The sequence below is a fragment of the Homo sapiens genome, chromosome 1 (assembly GCF_000001405.40).
Source record: "Homo sapiens chromosome 1, GRCh38.p14 Primary Assembly".
Taxonomy (NCBI): Eukaryota; Metazoa; Chordata; class Mammalia; order Primates; family Hominidae; genus Homo; species Homo sapiens.
Window position 1 is genome coordinate 210,062,283 of NC_000001.11, and position 17,854 is coordinate 210,080,136.

Sequence of the window (17,854 nt, forward strand, 5' to 3'; positions counted from 1 at the left end):
TCTTACAGTGTAAAACTATCCAGGGATGATCTCTGCAAATGGTTGACTGCAAATATAATAACTTGTTTTGTATTCTACAAATATAAAAGATAGTGTCTGATAAGTATACTGGGTCAATGATTTTTTTTCTAATTTGTCAAACTTTTGACACTAGAAAACAAAAGCACAATAATGTGCAAATGAATAAGGATTACCTTTCACAGATTATTAGTTGATTGCTCAGCCATGCTGTTTCTAACATATTTTTCAATAAATAGGCAGGAAGATTTGATGCTTGTTATACCACTTTGCCATCAACACGTCCATTTTGAATTCTAGAATTGCAGTGGGTACAACTAAACGTTGTAGTTTACAAATGAAATTTGACATTCTATTCTCATGAATTCCTGTACCTTTCACTCCCATTTCAAATTGGTAGAAAACAGTTCATTCTAACTACAATCTGTATCTTTGACACTTATATTTTAATTTACATTTCCAACTATACATTTTTCCTAACGTTTTAATTGTTCTTTAATTGTGAAAATAATTTCTAGTTTTAAAGTTTAATATTAAATGTTTTAGTTTTTTATAGTTTATGTGCTTGTATTATATATGCTGTGTGTATGCATGTATATTTATTTGTGCATGTTGGTAAATTTGACCGTTTTTCTTTTGCGTTGATGGTATTTTTCTTCTTGATTCATAATTCATGAATATTAAGAATATTAGCCTTTGTTGCATGTAATATTTTTTCTAGTTTTTTTTTTTTTAACATTGATGGTGATTTTGTTGACCCAAAATTTTTATATTATCTCAGATTTTTTGTTTTTTTCATTTATAGCTTCTGGATTATATGTCACGTTCAGAAAGACCTTTCCTGTTTTGAGATTTGGAAAATTTTGTTCATGTTTTCTTCTAGTATTTTTATGGGTTCATCTTTTTTACCTGTAAATCTTTGAGCTAGCTTTGATTTTTGTTGCAAGAACTGAAGTGGAGATCTAGCATTCTTCTTTTCCAAATTGCTGCCATTTATCACTATGTTATTGCTGGAAAATCTAATTTATTAATCACTGATTTGAAATACTGCTTTTATCCTATATTAAATTCCTTTTTGGACTTGTATCTATTTCTGAACTTTATTGTGTTCCAATTAATTTCTCTATGACAGTGTCTAATGCTGTAACATCATATTCCTTGTCAAATCTTTTATGGTTATTCTTATTCAATAATTTTTTCAGCTGAACTTTTAGAATAATTCTGGTGCAATTTTGAATGAGATCACATTGAGTTTATGTTGAGTGTTTCTTGATTACTTTTAATGCAGATTTTAATTACCGTTGTGAAGTTTTTTGATGCCCTTCCTTTCCATTTCAAAATATTCTTATGTTTTTATCCATCATTTCTACGTTGTATTCTAGAGGCCAGATACTTCTCTTATGCCTTAACTGCTGTCTTCATTTGGCCACAGCTGGAATTGGTTATTAGTAATCACTTATTCTTTTTTATTGTGTGATGGACTTCTTTTTTCTCCATGATTCACATTCTTCCATTCTTAAACACTCCTAGGTTTCCCTATATGAAGAGTACCCTCCCTCTAATCTTAATTTTTTTTAGTATTTTTTTAAAAATCAACTTGAGATATAACAGCCTTCTAATCTTTTAAAGTCCTTTTAACACCCTCTTTCCGTTTCTTATAAATCTCTTTAGAAGGCTAGCTGACAATGCTTTCATATTTTCACGATCCATTTTTCCAAATCATTTGAAAGCTGACTTTTAGTTATCCCACACTAGTGAATTTTTTCTATTTAGTTTTTCACTGTGGTAAAATATATACGCAGCATACAATTTATCTTGTATAAGTGGGACTGCATATAACTTAAATCATAATATATGCCTTTTTGTGTCTGATTTATTTCACTTAGCATAAAGTTTTCAAAGTTCATTCATGTTATGGCATGTATCAGAATTTCATCCTTTTAAAAATCTGTTATTTATTTCTTTTAATTTTGGTAAAATATGTAAAATAAAATTTACCATCTTTAAAGTATGCAGGTCTTTGACACTAAGCACATTCACAATGTTATGCAACCATCACTATTAACTATTTCCAGAACTTTTTTATCTTCCCAAATAGAAACTCTGCCTATTAAAAAATAACTCATTTCCTCTACCCCTTAGTCCTTGGTAACCACTATTCTATCTTCTGTCTCTATGAATTTATATGTTACAAATAACTGATGTAAATGGAATCATACAATATTTGTCCTTCTGTGTTTGGTTTATTTCATTTAGCATAATGTCTCCAAGGTTCATCCATATTGTACCAGGTATTATTTCTTTTTGTGGCTGAATAATATTCTGCTGTATGTATATACCACATTTTGCCTATCCATTCATCCTCTGATGGATTCTTGAGTTGCTTCTACCTTTTGGCTATTGTGAATAATACTACTATAAACACTGATGTGCAAGTGTCTGATTGAGTTGCTGCTTTCAGTTATTTTGGGTGTATACCTAGGAATAGAATTGTAGGGTCACATGCTAATTCTATGTTTAACTTTCCTCAGAACTGCCAAACTGTTTTCTACGATGGCTGAACCCTTTTACACTCCACCAGCAATGCATGAGGGTTCCAATTCCTCCACACCCTCGCCAACACTTGTTATTCCTTGCTTAGTTTTGTTTTTAATGGTAGCCATTCTAGTGGGTATAAACTAGTATCTCATTATGGTTTTGATTTGCATTTCCTTAATGACTAATGGTGTTAGGCGTCTTTTCATGTGCTTACTAGCCACTTGTCTATCTTCTTCTGAGAAATGTATATTCAAGTCCTTTGCCCAGTTTTGAATTGGGTTGTTTTGAGTTGTTTCATATTTTCTTCCATTCTGTGGACTATCTTTTCTTGGTAGTGTGCTTTGATGCACAAAAGTGCTTGCTATGGTTTCGCTTTGTCCCCACCCAAATCTCATCTTGAATTGTAGTTCCTGTAATCCCCACATGTCATGGGAGGAACCCAGTGGGAGGTAATTTAATCATGGGGGCGGTTACCTCTCATGCTGTTCTTGTGATACTGAATGAGTTCTCATGAGATCTGATGGTTTTATAAGGGGCTTTTCTCCCTTTTGTTTGGCACTTCTTGCTGCTGCCATGTGAAGAAGGATGTGTTTGCTTCCACCTTCTGCCATGTTTGTGAGTTTCCTGAGGCCTCCCCAGCTGTGCTGAACTGTGAGTCAGTTAAACCTCTTTCCTTTATAAATTACCCAGTCTCAGGTATGTCTTTTTTTTTTAAGTTTTATTTAAATTTTTATTTAAAATTGAGACAATTATATTTTGTCTTTTAAAAAATAATTTTGAATATTTTAAAAGGCAACTTTTTTGAAAACATGAAAATAATTTTTAATATTTACTTAACTTTTCATTTTCAATGAAATGTATGTAAATATACATTTGAAATACTTTTTTAAATTTAATTTTATTATTATTTAAGTTTTAGGGTACATGTGCACAACGTGCAGGTTTGTTACATATGTATACATGTGCCATGTTGGTGTGCTGCACCCATTAACTCGTCATTTAGCATTAGGTATATCTCCTAATGCTTTCCCTCCCCCTTCCCCCCACCCCACAACAGTCCCCGGTGTGTGATGTTCCCCTTCCTGTGTCCATGTGTTCTCATTGTTCAATTCCCACCTATGAGTGAGAACGTGTGGCGTTTGGTTTTTTGTCCTTGTGATAGTTTGCTGAGAATGATGGTTTCCAGCTTCATCCATGTCCCTACAAAGGACATGAACTCATCATTTTTTATGGCTGCATAGTATTCCATGGTGTATATGTGCCACATTTTCTTAATCCAGTCTATCATTGTTGGACATTTGGGTTGGTTCCAAGTCTTTGCTATTGTGAATAGTGCCGCAATAAATATACCTGTGCATGTGTCTTTATAGCAGCATGATTTATAATCCTTTGGGTATATACCCAGTAATGGGATGGCTGGGTCAAATGGTATTTCTAGTTCTAGATCCCTGAGGAATCGCCACACTGACTTCCACAATGGTTGAACTAGTTTACAGTCCCACCAACAGTGTAAAAGTGTTCCTATTTCTCCACACCTTCTCCAGCACCTGTTGTTTCCTGACTTTTTAATGATTGCCATTCTAACTGGTGTGAGATGCTATCTCATTGTGGTTTTGATTTGCATTTCTCTGATGGCCAGTGATGATGAGCATTTTTTCATGTATCTGTTGGCTGCATAAATGTCTTCTTTTGAGAAGTGTCTGTTCATATCCTTCGCTCACTTTTTGATGGGGTTGTTTGTTTTTTTCTTGTAAATTTGTTTGAGTTCATTGTATTCCGGATGTTAGCCCGTTGTCAGATGAGTAGGTTGCAAAAATGTTCTCCCATTCTGTAGGTTGCCTGTTCACTCTGATGGTAATTTCTTTTGCTGTGCAGAAGCTTTTTAGTTTAATTAGATCCCATTTGTCAATTTTGGCTTTTGTAGGTATGTCTTTATTAGCAGCGTGAGAACGGACTAATACAGTGCTCAATGAAAAGTGTTTGATGAATTTCAATTTATCTCTTGGTCCTTTTGTTGCCTGTGTTTTGTTAGTTGTATCCAAGAAATAATTCCCAAAACCAGTGTCATAAAAAATTTTTCATTTTCTTCCAAGAGTTTTATACTTTAAGCTCTTATATTTAGGTATTTAATTTTGAGTTAATTTCTATATATAGTATAAGATAAGGGTCTAATTTCATTCTTTTGCATGTGAATAACCACTTAGCACCATTTGTTGAAGACTGTTCTTTCCCCATTGAATGGCCTTGGCACCCTTATCAGTTGACCATACACATATGGTTTTGTTTCTGGACTGTCAAGTATATGTCATTGATCTACGTGTCTGTCCTCTTGCCAGTACCACACTCTCTTGATTACAGTTGCTTTTACTAAGCTTGAAATCATAAAGTGTGAGTCTTCCTACTGTATTCTTCTTTTTCTTTATTGTTTTAGCTATTCTGGTTATCCTTGCAATTCCGTATGGATTTTAGAATCAACTTGACAATTTTTACAAAGAATTCGTCTGAGATCCTTATGGAGATTGTGTTGAATCTGTAGATTACTTTGGAGGATATTGCCATCTTAATATTAAGTCTTCTAATTCATGAACATGAGATGTTTGTCCAGTTATTCAAGTCTTCTTTAATTTCTTTCAACGATGTTTTTCAGTTTTCAGATGTTTTATTCATGTTGTGTCATGCGTTAGAATTTCATATTACTATATTCTGAGAACTTTTTTAGGACTTGAAACATTATATAGATTTGAAGACCTCTCTCTATATATCACCATATTCTAGAATTTGGTATTTATGCATCTTAAACGTATTTTTAAAATTTACCCTCCCATTAACAGCCTTCTTACTGATCTTTTATGTCCTCATCAATGCTTACATTTGCTAGATTTTTGCATTTTTGGCAATCTGATAGGTGGTATTTCACATTTTTGTGGAGTTCCTAGGAAAAGCTGATAATATAGAAATGTGAGATGTAAAGATTGAAAAGGAAGAAATAAAACAGGAATTGCTTGGAAATGATATGGTTGTCTTATCTAGAAGAGGAAAGAGATTCTACAGGCAAATTATTAGGAAAGGTATCTTGTTCAACAATCTTGTTCATTATTTCTAATAAATTCTAATAATTTACCTCTAGCTCTGGCTAGGAACTCACATACAATGTTTAATACCAGTGAATATGCCTCTTGTTTCTGTTTTAAAGAGAATGCTTCTAATGTTTGCCTTTTATGATGTTTGCTCTGGTTATTTGGAAGATACCTCTTATTGAATTAAGGAAATTCCCTTTTGTTCCTAGTTTGCTAAAATGATAATCATTAATTGATGTTTAATTTTATTATTTTCTCTTTCTAATCTTTGGAAATCACATGGATTTTATCTTTTAATCTGTTCATGTTGTGAATTACATTAAAAGATATCCCTTTGCTAAACTAACCTTGTGTTTCTGAAATAAAACCCAATTTGTCATGCTGTCTTTTGATTACCTCTTGTGTTCCCTTTATAAAGGGGTTTCCCAGAGAAGCTTACTATACACTATTTCTTCTCTTGCTATCTTTGTTTGAGTCTTAGGATCAAGGTTTTACAAAATTGTAAAGCAAGTTTTGGATTATTTGCTTTTTTTCATTTCTCTAGACCATTATACGAGATTAAGAGTATCTGTTCTCTGTTTGGTAGAATCAACCTATGAAATCACTTGTATCTTACGAGTTTTTTTATAGATAGATTTTTATTGATTTAATACTTTAATGTAGGTGTCATTGGATTCTCTATTTCTTCATGAGTCAGTTTTGGTAAATTATATTTTTCCAAAAATTTTTTATTGTATACATTTTTCAGAATTATGATTGTAAAGTTGTTAATAGCATTCTTTTGTTTACTTAATTCTTTCAGGGTTTTTAAAAAATAATTCTTTAATTATTTCAAGGAAACATTTTGGTTTTGTTAATCCTCTCTATAGAATTGGTTTTTTAAAAATTTTATTCTATCTACTTTCATTTTTCTTTTACTTAGATTTATACTTTAACTTCTTGAGCTGGATGCTTACTTCATTGTTTTTCAGTCTTTTTTGGTTTCTAACATGTGGATTTAAGGCTATACATTCCTTTTAAAATACCATTTCAGTTGTATCCAACACATTTTAATATGCAATATCTTCATTTTTATTTGTTTTTATAATTTTTCTAATTGCTGTTATGATTTTTTTCAGTTGCTGGGTTTGGATATAAAATTCCAAATATTTAAGCTAAAAGAAATCTCTTCTTGTTTCTGAGTTCTAAGTTAAGTGTGTTGTGATCAGCTATCAAAATCTATGCAATTCAACTTTTCCTATTTGTTAAGACTTGCTTTATGCGGCTGGTGTATTTGTGTATGTGTGTGTCAAGGGGATTAATATCTATTGTATCCAACAAAAGAGTATGCATTCTCTAATTCTTCGTTATAAGTTTCAGTGAATGTCTTTTAGTTGAGCTTATTGAGTTCAACTCATCTGCTGTATCTTTCCTAAATATTCTTTCTGCTTTGCCTTTTAATCAGTAGGAGAGATATGTAATATCTTCCACTATGATTGTAGATTTTGTCAGCTTTTTCCTTGGAATTCTGTCTGTTTTTCTTAAATTATTTTAACATTGTGTTATAAGGGACTTACATGTTTACAAATTCATCTTTCTGGTGGATTGTCCCATATATCATTTTGTGGTAATAACCTTCTTTATGTATTTATATTTATGTCTCTTCAGAGAGGGCTCAAAAACTATTTTATTTGTTATAATGTGCTTACACAGCTTTTAAAAATTGGTATTTGTTAAGTTATCTTTTTTATTCTTTAATATTCAACCTTTATTCTTAATTATAAGTGTATATTGTAAACATTTACTTCCTATGTATTTATCGCAGTACTTTTTATAATTATTCTTATTTGAACGTGTTTTTGCTATATTATTTTCTTACATTTACCCCACTTTTTCTATGCTTTTTTTTCTCTCTGTTATACCTTTTTTTTTGTTTTTGCCTTTGTCATGATGTGACTTTCAGGAACGTGATAGTGTGCAAAATTTTTTGATGGTTTCTGCATTTGATGGCATCTCTCTCTGGAAATAACCTCAGGAAAGATCACATTATGAACAGCTTTAGGAATTTAGAAACATTGAAGCAAAACATTATTCACATTAAAGTTGAGTTTACTAATGAGATCCTAGCATATTAATGTAAAATGTCTGCAAAATATAGTGGTCACTTAAACATCACTTAGCATAAACATTTTATTCTGAGGAGGAAAAAATGTTTTTATTCTTTTCATGTTTTAACCTTTGCATACAACTTCTCTCGTTCCGCTCTCCATCTCCTCCCCGACTGTGCCGTCACCATACATTTAAGGATCTTGGGAGCTTATGTAGTCTTGCAGGAAGGCCTGGATCTCAAATATGAAAAGGTAAAACTCTGTTAGAGTATCTAGACTTTCAAGAAATGAGGTTCTCTAGTTCCCTTTTATAATCCATTGCAGCAATAGCAGTTTTCACTTTTAGAAAATTAATCCCTTATTCTATTCCACTTTCAAAATGGAACTGTTAAATGTTATGGATTCATTGTAGTTAAAATTACACAGATCTTAGCAGTTTATGGACAAAAGCCCAGAGAGTTTAAATACTCACTTTGCTTTTTAGTAGCAGACCATGGGTTCAAACTCAGGTTTCTGCTCTCCCTGTTCAGTGTTCTTTATTGATTTTCCCTTTCCCTGTTATAAAAGCTTGACAAATTAGGCTTTCTTCTCAAGGCCTATGGAGTTTAGTAACTTGCATAATGCCTGGCACAAAATAGGTCTTAAAACAAATGCCCGTTGTTTACCATTTACTGGGAAAGACAGGTACACTTGGAGTTTTAAGTGGCTTGCGCTTTGTTGTATGTGGGCACAGAAGAGGCACACTGAAATCAGCTGAGTGTTTCTTGGTATAGGGTCGTCTGCTTTTCTCCAAACCACTCTTAACAGAACATGGGATTGTCTCCAGTAGCAGTCATGAGAGAAGCTGATTTAGGTGGATACATTTTCTCTGCTAGTCAGCTCAATTCAACAAAGATAGTTGGGTATAATTTTTTTTTTTTTTTTTTTTTTTTGGCTAGACTTTTGCTACAGTCCTTTGTGATGAGGAAAAACAGACTAAACATTCACTGTGAGTCTTGATAAAAACTTCAGACATGTATTGTAATATTTTTCCTTCAACTGATTCTCATATAAGCCTAGTAATACCATTTTTTACTATTTTTATGGTTTCTACTTAGAAACATTTCATAATCTTTCCAAAACAACAAAAGATGCCTTCCCCCTCTACAGATGGAAAAATTGAGGCATTGTGAGTGTTGAGTTGGAACCTCTGTGAAATTCACTGCATCAGACTGAATTTGTATATATATGTATTGCTTGTAAATTAAAGAGCTTTCCTTTAGTAAGTAGTATATTTATATATTAGATAAAAATATTTATGTTTATTCACTCTATGATCTCTAAGTCACAAGTCCTTATAGAAGGAGTAATATGTGTTTCTACATTGTAATACATATCTTAATCATAAAATTTAAAATAACTAAACATTCACTAAAAGGACTTGCCTAGCCACATTGAATAATATAATTCCTGTGAATTGTTATGTCATGTGAAGTTTCTTATTATTTATGTGGGTACATGTGTCTTAAAAAGCAGAATTGTATCTCTCTGACAAGAAGTCTGCCTAACTGCTTCATACATATTTATGCTATTTTTAAAAGGATAAGTCACAAAAGGAGTTGTTGAAAAATATTTTTTGTAGGAGCTGAGTTTGATATTCAATTCCTGATTTTTTAAAAAGATCTCATATGTAGTAGAAGATATTAAATAGTGAAGAAAGATTTGGTTGCTACACTAAGAAAGAAGAAAGTAGGGGTAGAATGAGATGATTTCTGACATAATCCGAATAATTTTACTGATAAAAAAAGCTTCGATTCCATTTTGCAGTGATGTTTTTATTACAAGTTAACACTTAACCTTGAACAATCTGCATATTCTCACAAATGACCTCTTTTGAAATTTTTTATTATGGGCTATATAATATGAATGTTCCTATGAGATATTGTCTTTCATATAATTAGAAGTTTTTATTACTGAAGAACTCAAAACTCAAGTTTACTTTCAGATTCAGGTTTTACTTTGAATCACAGATTGTCATATTGGCTTATTTTAATGTTTATACCTTTTTAAAAATAACTCATTTTCTATTCAATAATTTGATGTCTATTCAGATTTTTTAAAATAATTAGCTGATTAGCTGGTTAATTAAAGATATATATATATATATATACTATTTTTTAAAAGCATGAACAGTGATATAAACAATTAGAGATTCATAATGTCTTGATGCCTTGATTCCTGCCATGTCAGTTTTCTTGTGTTTGATGAGACACAGAGCAGTTATGGGAGAATACTTGTCACTGGTATCCATGGTAACTCCAAAGATACTTTGGAACTCAGAGGCATAGAGTGAGCCATAGTAATAGATCTCATTATAAGGGTAAAATACATAAAAGGTTCAGGCATATGCTTTTAATTAGTTGCCAAAAATAGAGCTGGAGAGGATGCAGTGAAATATTTTTCACTGTTAGAAATAGTATGGGCAGTGTTAAATTTTAAATGCTGCCCATAGTATTATATTTTTCTACTAAAGTAAGGGAGATGTACATTCTGAATACTCATAGTAGTGCAGTTTCTTAATCACAATTTGGACATGGGAGTACAGGAGTACACATTCATAAAAGAGAAGACTTAGTTTCATACTGATACAAATATAGTATTTGCTTATCATTTTTAATTCTTAGTCCTACAACATAGTTTATTCAGAAAAGCACTTCTTAAGACTTTTCCTTGTAGGTTCTAAACTACCCCTGAGATTTACTTTCTGTCTAAATAACATACAGAATATTATTCCATGCATTTTTGTTTTAAAATGCAAATGATACAGTAGTTAAAATTCTTATTGTTCAGGTATATTAAATTTTCTGTATTTTTTGGGACATACTAAATTTAAATTAGCAAAACAGGATTCAGGAAAAGTAGACAAGAATAATTAAGTATTTTCCATTAGAGAATTATGATGGATAAAAGATTAATAACTCTTTTAAGACAAAATTCTTTAAAGATTTCCTTTTGAATTGCAATCTGTAAAAAAAAAAAAAAAAATCTTGTATTGCATTGCAATTCAACACATTATTTCTTCCTGTTGCTATAGAAACTAATTCTGGTGCAGCTGTGATTGCTAATCAAAATTCTAACATTATACAACCTTTTCCCCCTTAGTATTTCATTTTATTTTTAGTTACAAAATAATAAATTTCAATGGTAAGTTCATAACAATGGTCAAAACATTAATGCAAAGATTTTTTAAAATGTAAGCCCTTTCCTTTGAAAATAAGGAGGTATTCTTACTGTGTAGTTTCAATATGAATAACAAGAAAACAAAGCATTTTAGCTGAATTACAAAGGTCTATAATTGCTGTATTACATCAACATTGTGAAGCACTTAACTGCTTCATAATCCTAAATTGCTACTATTTCAACCATCTATTTTTGAAGTGTCTGGTTATTTGGTATTATAAAAATGAAAAAATAAAAAAAATCCTCAGAATGCCTGAAGTCTTTTAACACAAAATGGGAGTGAAACTTCCTTATTGTTTTATCTTCAAAGAATTGATATCACATCCCCAATTTATGTCATAAGTAAAAGCTAATTAGTTCTCATTCTTGCCTTTATTGATATATACTCCCCAACAAACTGTACTGTTAACATCATCCAATATAGTCCATGTATGTTTTACAGGCCAGAATGGAGTTATGTTTTGGGTTTTTGTTTTTGTTTTTTTTTGTCTTTCTAAAATCATTTGTTCTTTTCTACTTCATAAAACAAATATAAAAACAAATCACCAATTTATACACAACAAAAAATGTATTCTGTCTCTATGTATATACACATTCAACAGGCCTTAAGCTGAATCTAAAATAAAATCTTTGGTATGTGTTATAGTATCAATTATGGTATGTTATTTGCATATACTATCACAAAGCTTTAATTTGGTATATCAAGAAAACAGATGAAATTTATTATTTCAAGTTGTTGATTGAGTTTAATAAAAACTCAGATGTAAAAACATAACATTTTTTATGGTTTAACAGGGTAGACTGTGTCCAAAATTAATCTGAAAACAAATTTAGAAGTTCCATGGCCTTTTCTCAAGAACACTAAATAAAAAATGAAAAATACAAATCTAATTTATCTATCCTTTCTGAGCCTCACCTACCTCAGGGGGTTACTGTATTGATTAATGCTAATATGATCACTATAATAACAACTAAATTTACCGACACTATGAAGCACTGCGCAAAGCACTTAAAACATTAACTGAGTTAATCTTCAAAAATTACAATAAGGTTGATGCTATTACAATTCCTGATTTACAGATGAGCAAATAAAATCATCAGAGATGTAAATAAGTTGTCCACAGTCACATAGCTAGTGAATGGAAGAGGTAGAATTAGAACCAGGTAGTCTAATACCAAAACCCACATTCTTAGCTCCTGTTAAGTACTGTATAGACCATAAATTATTATATGAGCATAAGGTATTGATACAAACATAGGCACTCTGTCACCCAACTGCTGCCCTAAAATTTACATTGTTTATTAATAATGTTGGAAGAGGTATACTTCACTCTGTAAAAAAATTTCTGTTAGGATGTTCTCAGGTGACTACAGTCCCAATTCTGTAAATTCTTTACTGTCGGAAGAAAATGCCCTCAGAAAGCAATACATTTTTTCCCAACTCTCCATAATAGTGAAATGGGAAAAGTTCCCTTGTCCCCCTCTCAGGGCGTGTGATGGTGGTGTGGATTGCTTCTTCAGTGCCCCGCTACTCAAACCTCTAGGGGAGCATACAGACTGGCAGGCTGTGGGGCTCTGACCCCATGGCAGTGTCTAGAGATGAATGTTTACAACTGAAGCCCCAGTGGGCATGTGTTACAGGGTGCTCTTTTAGTTTAGCCATCCATAGGCGGCTTGTGTTAGTCAGCTCAATTAGACCCCTGCCTTATCGCAAGGACAGAGAGCTTTCTGTATCCCAGGGTTCTTGCCTTAGTGTACTGGAAGAATCAGATTACACGTGGGCTTGGAGAATGAGTACAAGGTTTTATTGAGCGCAAGTAGCTCTCAGCAGATGGGATAGCCAGAAGGGAGATGGTTTTCCCCTGGAGTCCGACCGCTCAGCGGCCCGGGCTCTCCTCTGACTACCCCAGCCAAACTTGGCCTCGTCCAGCCAAACTTGGCCTTATCCAGCCAGTCGATGGCCTGTGGGCGTGCCAGCTGACGTGTGCTCTTCTGCTGGTCTTCCGCTGGCGTGCTCCCCTCGATGTCCTCTCGCTGTCCAGCTGTTTGTGTCTTCTGCTGATGTGTTCTTCTTGACGTCTAGCCACTTGTGTGCCTGCCTGCTAGGGTCTCGAGGGTTTGTTTTTTTTTTTTTTTTTGAGACAGAGTCTCCCTCTGTTGAGAAGTGCAATGGCACAATCTCAGCTCACTGCAACCTCCACCTCCTGGGTTCAAGTGATTCTCCTGCCTCAGCCTCCTGAGTAGCTGGGATTACAGGTGCGTGCCACCACGCCCGGCTAATTTTTGTATTTTTAGTAGAGACGGGGTTTCACCATGTTGGCCAGGATGGTCTCCAACTCCTGACCTCGTGATCCGCCTGCCTCGGCCTCCCAAAGTGCTGGAATTACAGGCATGAGCCACCGTGCCTGGCCGGTCTTGAGGATTTTTATAGGCACAGGATGGGGGCGTGGCTGGCCAGGGTGGTCTTAGGAAATGCAACATTTGGGCGCAAAGACAGGAGTACCTGTCCTCACCTAGGTCTGTGGGCACAGGCCTGCGGGGGTAGAGCCCTTACCAGGGACCTGCCTTTCCCTTCCCAGCACTTCCCTGCCCTCCTTCCGTATCAGTAGTTCCCTTGTATAGATTTTCTGTTACCAAAGGTATATCTTTGCTATTAATAGGGACTTAAATTTGTGTTAAATAGTACCTGCATGATGGGTGTATTTTTTAAATATTAAGTATTATGTTTTATATAATTTTCTTTCCCATAGGCTTATCCCTTAAGCAAACAACTTTAAACTTTTTGATGGCAGCATTCTATCTTACTGGTTTTATGTTGCCTCCAACTAACACAGATTTGCTACTTCATTTATCCATTGAGATATTACTCTGTAGACTTTGGGAATAGTAAGAGCCATTTTCTCCACTTAGAATCTCAGAGACAAGTAGGAGAGTTTTATTGAGATACTTGACTTAATTGAATCTTTGATGATAATTTTGGGTCATGATTAATATTGATTACTAGGTGGAACCCCAAAAAAGCTGAAATTTAAGGTGCTCTTACTAATATAGATGCCATGGTGTATACTCCTGAATGACTTGATATGAGCAGTATCATATCAAAAAATTCACTCACAGTATATAATTCAAGAGTTTTACAACCATCACAATAATTTAATTTTAGAACATTCTCATCACACAAAAAATAAATCTTGTACCCATGAGCAGTCACTCCCCAGCACCAGCATCTAAGTAACTACTACTCATCTACTTTCTGTCTCTTTATATTTGCCTGTTCCTCGCCTTTCATATAAATGGAACAATACAAAAGGTGGCTGTATTAGTCCATTCTCACGATGCTATAAAGAAATACCCAAGACTAGGCTGTTTATAAAGAAAAGAGGTTTAATTGGCTCATGGTTCTGTACAGGAAGTATAGCAGCTTCTGCTTCTGGGGAGGCCTCAGCAAACTTAGAATCATGGCAGAAGAAAAATGGGGAGCCAGCGCTTCACATGGCTGGAGCAGGAGGAAGAGAGAGAGTGGGCAAGTGCTACACACGTTTAAACAGCCAAATCTCATGATAACTCACTCACTATCACGAGAACAGCACCAAGGGGAATGTGCCAACTCATTCATGAGAACTCCACCCACATGACTCAATCACCTCCCACCAGGTGCCTTCTCCAACAATGGGGATTACAATTCAACATGAGATTTGGGTGGGGACACAGCCAAACCATATCAGTGGCTTTTTGTTACTGGTTTCTTTCACTTAGCATAGTGTTTTGAAGGTTCTTCCTTATTGTAGAATTCCTTTTTATTGCTGTGTTAGGCCATTCTAGTGTTACCATAAGGAAATACCTGAGACTGGGTAATTTATAAAGAAATGAGGTTTAATTACCTTACAGTTCTGCAGTTCCAATAAGCATGATGCCAGCATCTTCTCGGCTTCTGGGGAGGCTTCAGGGAGCTTTTACCCATGGTGGAAGGCAAAGTGGGAACCAGCACTTCACATGGTGAAAGCAGGAGCAAGAGAGAGTCGGTGGGGGGGAGATGCCACACACTTAAAACAACCAGGTCTCAGGAGTACTCACTCACTGTGACAAAGACAGCCCCGAGCCGTGAGGGATCCACCCCATCACCCAAACGCTTGCCACCAGGCCCCACCTCCAACATTGGGGATTATATCTCAGCATGAGATTAGGTGGGGGCAAATATCCAAACCATATCAATTGCCAAATAGTATTAAATTGTATAGATGTACCACATTTTGTTTATCGTTCATCACTTGATGGTCACTTGGGTTCTTTCTACCTTTTGGCTACTATATGAGTAATGCTGATGTGAATATATGTACAAAAAATCGTTGTGTGGATACATGTTTTTATCTCCTTTGAGTAAATACAAATGTACAAGTCAAATTGCAGGGTCATATTGTAACTCTGTTTTTACAATTTTGATAACTGTTTTTTGAAATGATTGTACCATTGTACGTTTCTATCTGCAATTTATGAAAATTCCTGTTTTTTCATACCTACCGATACTTACTATTGTCTATATTCTTATCATAGATATTTTAATGGGGTATAAAGTGGTATCTGACTGTGATTTGGGGGAAATTTTTTTAAATAAAGAATTAAATACTGTGTTAAGTGCTATGGAAACTAGATGCAGAATGGTGCCACAAAGGAAGGGATTGTTAAACAGACCAGAAAAGGTTTTATACTAGAACTGAAGTCTTGGACATTGAAAACAAAGGATATCTCCATGTTGATGTTGGAAACAACATTATAGCAAACACCACTGAAGCATAAAAATATGCATCTAGGCCGGGCGCGGTGGCTCACGCCTGTAATCCCAGCACTTTGGGAGGCCGAGGCGGGCGGATCACGAGGTCAAGAGATCGAGACCATCCTGGCTAACACGGTGAAACCCCGTCTCTACTAAAAATACAAAAAATTAGCCGGGCGTGGTAGCGGGCGCCTGTAGTCCCAGCTACTCGGGAGGCTGAGGCAGGAGAATGGCGTGAACCCGGGAGGCAGAGCTTGCAGTGAGCTGAGATCACGCCACTGCACTCCAGCCTGGGCGACAGAGCGAGACTCCGTCTCAAAAAAAAAAAAAAAAAAAAAAAAAAAAATGCATCTATTTCAGGGAACTGTAAATGGCCTGACAGGGTTGGTACAGTGATTTGATAACTGCATGTGGATCATGAAATCAGTTTAGTAGGTCTTGACAAACACTAAAAAAGTGATGTGCCATGACAAATATTTAGGAAAAACAAATTGTATTTCTTATAAAATATGGTTATTGCACATACTAAGAATATTACTTAATGACTCTTTTCCCCCCATAATTTAAGACATATACTTTTAAAATGTATTTATGGTGTGGGTTCTGGTTCAAGAGTTTGAAATTCACAGGTCTAGAGTGTACATTGAAGGACAAAAAAGTCATGAAAACATGTTACCCTAGTGTGGACTCTAGAAATATCAAGCATGTTAGAAAAAATTTTCATTGACCGTCTATGAATAATATGATATACGTATGAATTTTTTTTTTTTTTGAGACAGGGTCTTACCCTGTCGCCCAGGCTGGAGTGCACTGATGTTATCATGGCTCACTGTAGCCTCGACTTCTCAGGCTCAAGTGATTCTCCCACCTCAGCTTCCCCAGTAACTGGGACTACAGGGTTATGTGCCACCATGCCTGGCTATTTTTTTTTTTCAATCTTTTTGTAGAAACGAGTTTTCACCGTGTTTCCCAGGCTAGTCTTGGACACATGAGCTCAAGCGATCAGCCCGTCCTGGCCTCTAAGTGCTGGGATTATAGGTGTGAGCCTCTGCGCCCAGCATGTATGAATCCTTTAAAGCTATAGTATTGTAACAATTTTTTAATCATTGTTTTTTTTTAGCCTGAGTAGATGCCTTGTAAAACTATCTAGGTCGGTGTTTCTCAGCCTTTTTTCATCATTGCTCCCCTACAGAGATCATTTCAATTTAATTTAAATAAATCAATAAATTAATTAATTTGAAAATAATCTCTATATAATAGGGTACTATGTTCACTATTTGTGGGATGGGTTCAATAGAAGCCCAAACCTCACCATCACACAATATAACAATTATATAACTATAATTGTTACCGTTATATCCATGTGACAAACCTGCATATGTACCCACTAAGTCTTAAAAAAAATTCTACCTAATGAGAAGATAAATACAAAGGAATAAGTTTTTTGTCAGGTAGGGTTGTGTTTTGGTAACCCATAAAACGTAATAGTGAAGATATTTTTGCCATCACTCCAAAAACCACTTGTGGCTCATTTGGGCGTGACATTGTCCGAGTTGAGAATGCATATCTAGCTTATTCCTATTTTGTTTAAAATTAGAGGACTTAGAATTTTTACCTCAGCCCATGAAGGAGTAGCTGCTAAAGGACTTGCTTTCCTGCCAGAAATAATTAGAACACTGGAAAAAAAAATGTAAGAAAAAACTATTTTGAGTCATTGGACAGTAGGCAGGGCAGGGATATGATCCATGAGAGAAAGCAAACGAATGAGGAAATACCTATGAAGACCCCAGCTTATTACTTAGAGACAATTTTGAGGCTGCAATGCAAGGAGGGAAAACCAAAATGGAATCTGGCAGTCTCCAAAAATATTGATTGAAATTAACATTGTAATTTTGGACAATCTTCCTTTCAAAATTTAATAGGGAATTATTTATCAAGAGTCTTTTAGTTTCAGTATAGTTGAACAAAGTAAAAAGAAATTCTGGTCTTTGTTGATATTGAGTTGTCCTCATAGTATTTTAAAGGTGATAAAATATATATTGTTAAATTTAATTCTAGATTTATCTAGTTTGGTTTTGTGAAGTTTTCTGAGGAATACCAATTATCTTTTTAATTTTGTCCTCAAAAATTGCTGCATTATTTAG

At 34.5% G+C, this 17,854-nt stretch overlaps 1 protein-coding gene across 17 annotated transcripts in view, besides 1 other annotated feature; it reads left to right on the forward strand.

Moving 5' to 3' along the window:
- SYT14 (synaptotagmin 14) overlaps window positions 1-17,854 on the forward strand; it is a 233,173-nt gene that overhangs the window by 124,066 nt on the left and 91,253 nt on the right. The gene's annotated exons all lie outside the window — the stretch shown is intronic.
- Window positions 8,324-8,493: an enhancer, noted in NCBI's record as "experimental_2872 CRE fragment used in MPRA reporter constructs". NCBI's record gives its function as "activates a minimal promoter by MPRAs in K562 erythroleukemia cells, with activity observed for both the introgressed and non-introgressed 1:210244036 variant alleles {active_cell/tissue: K562}" and the evidence as "EXISTENCE:reporter gene assay evidence [ECO:0000049][PMID:34662402]".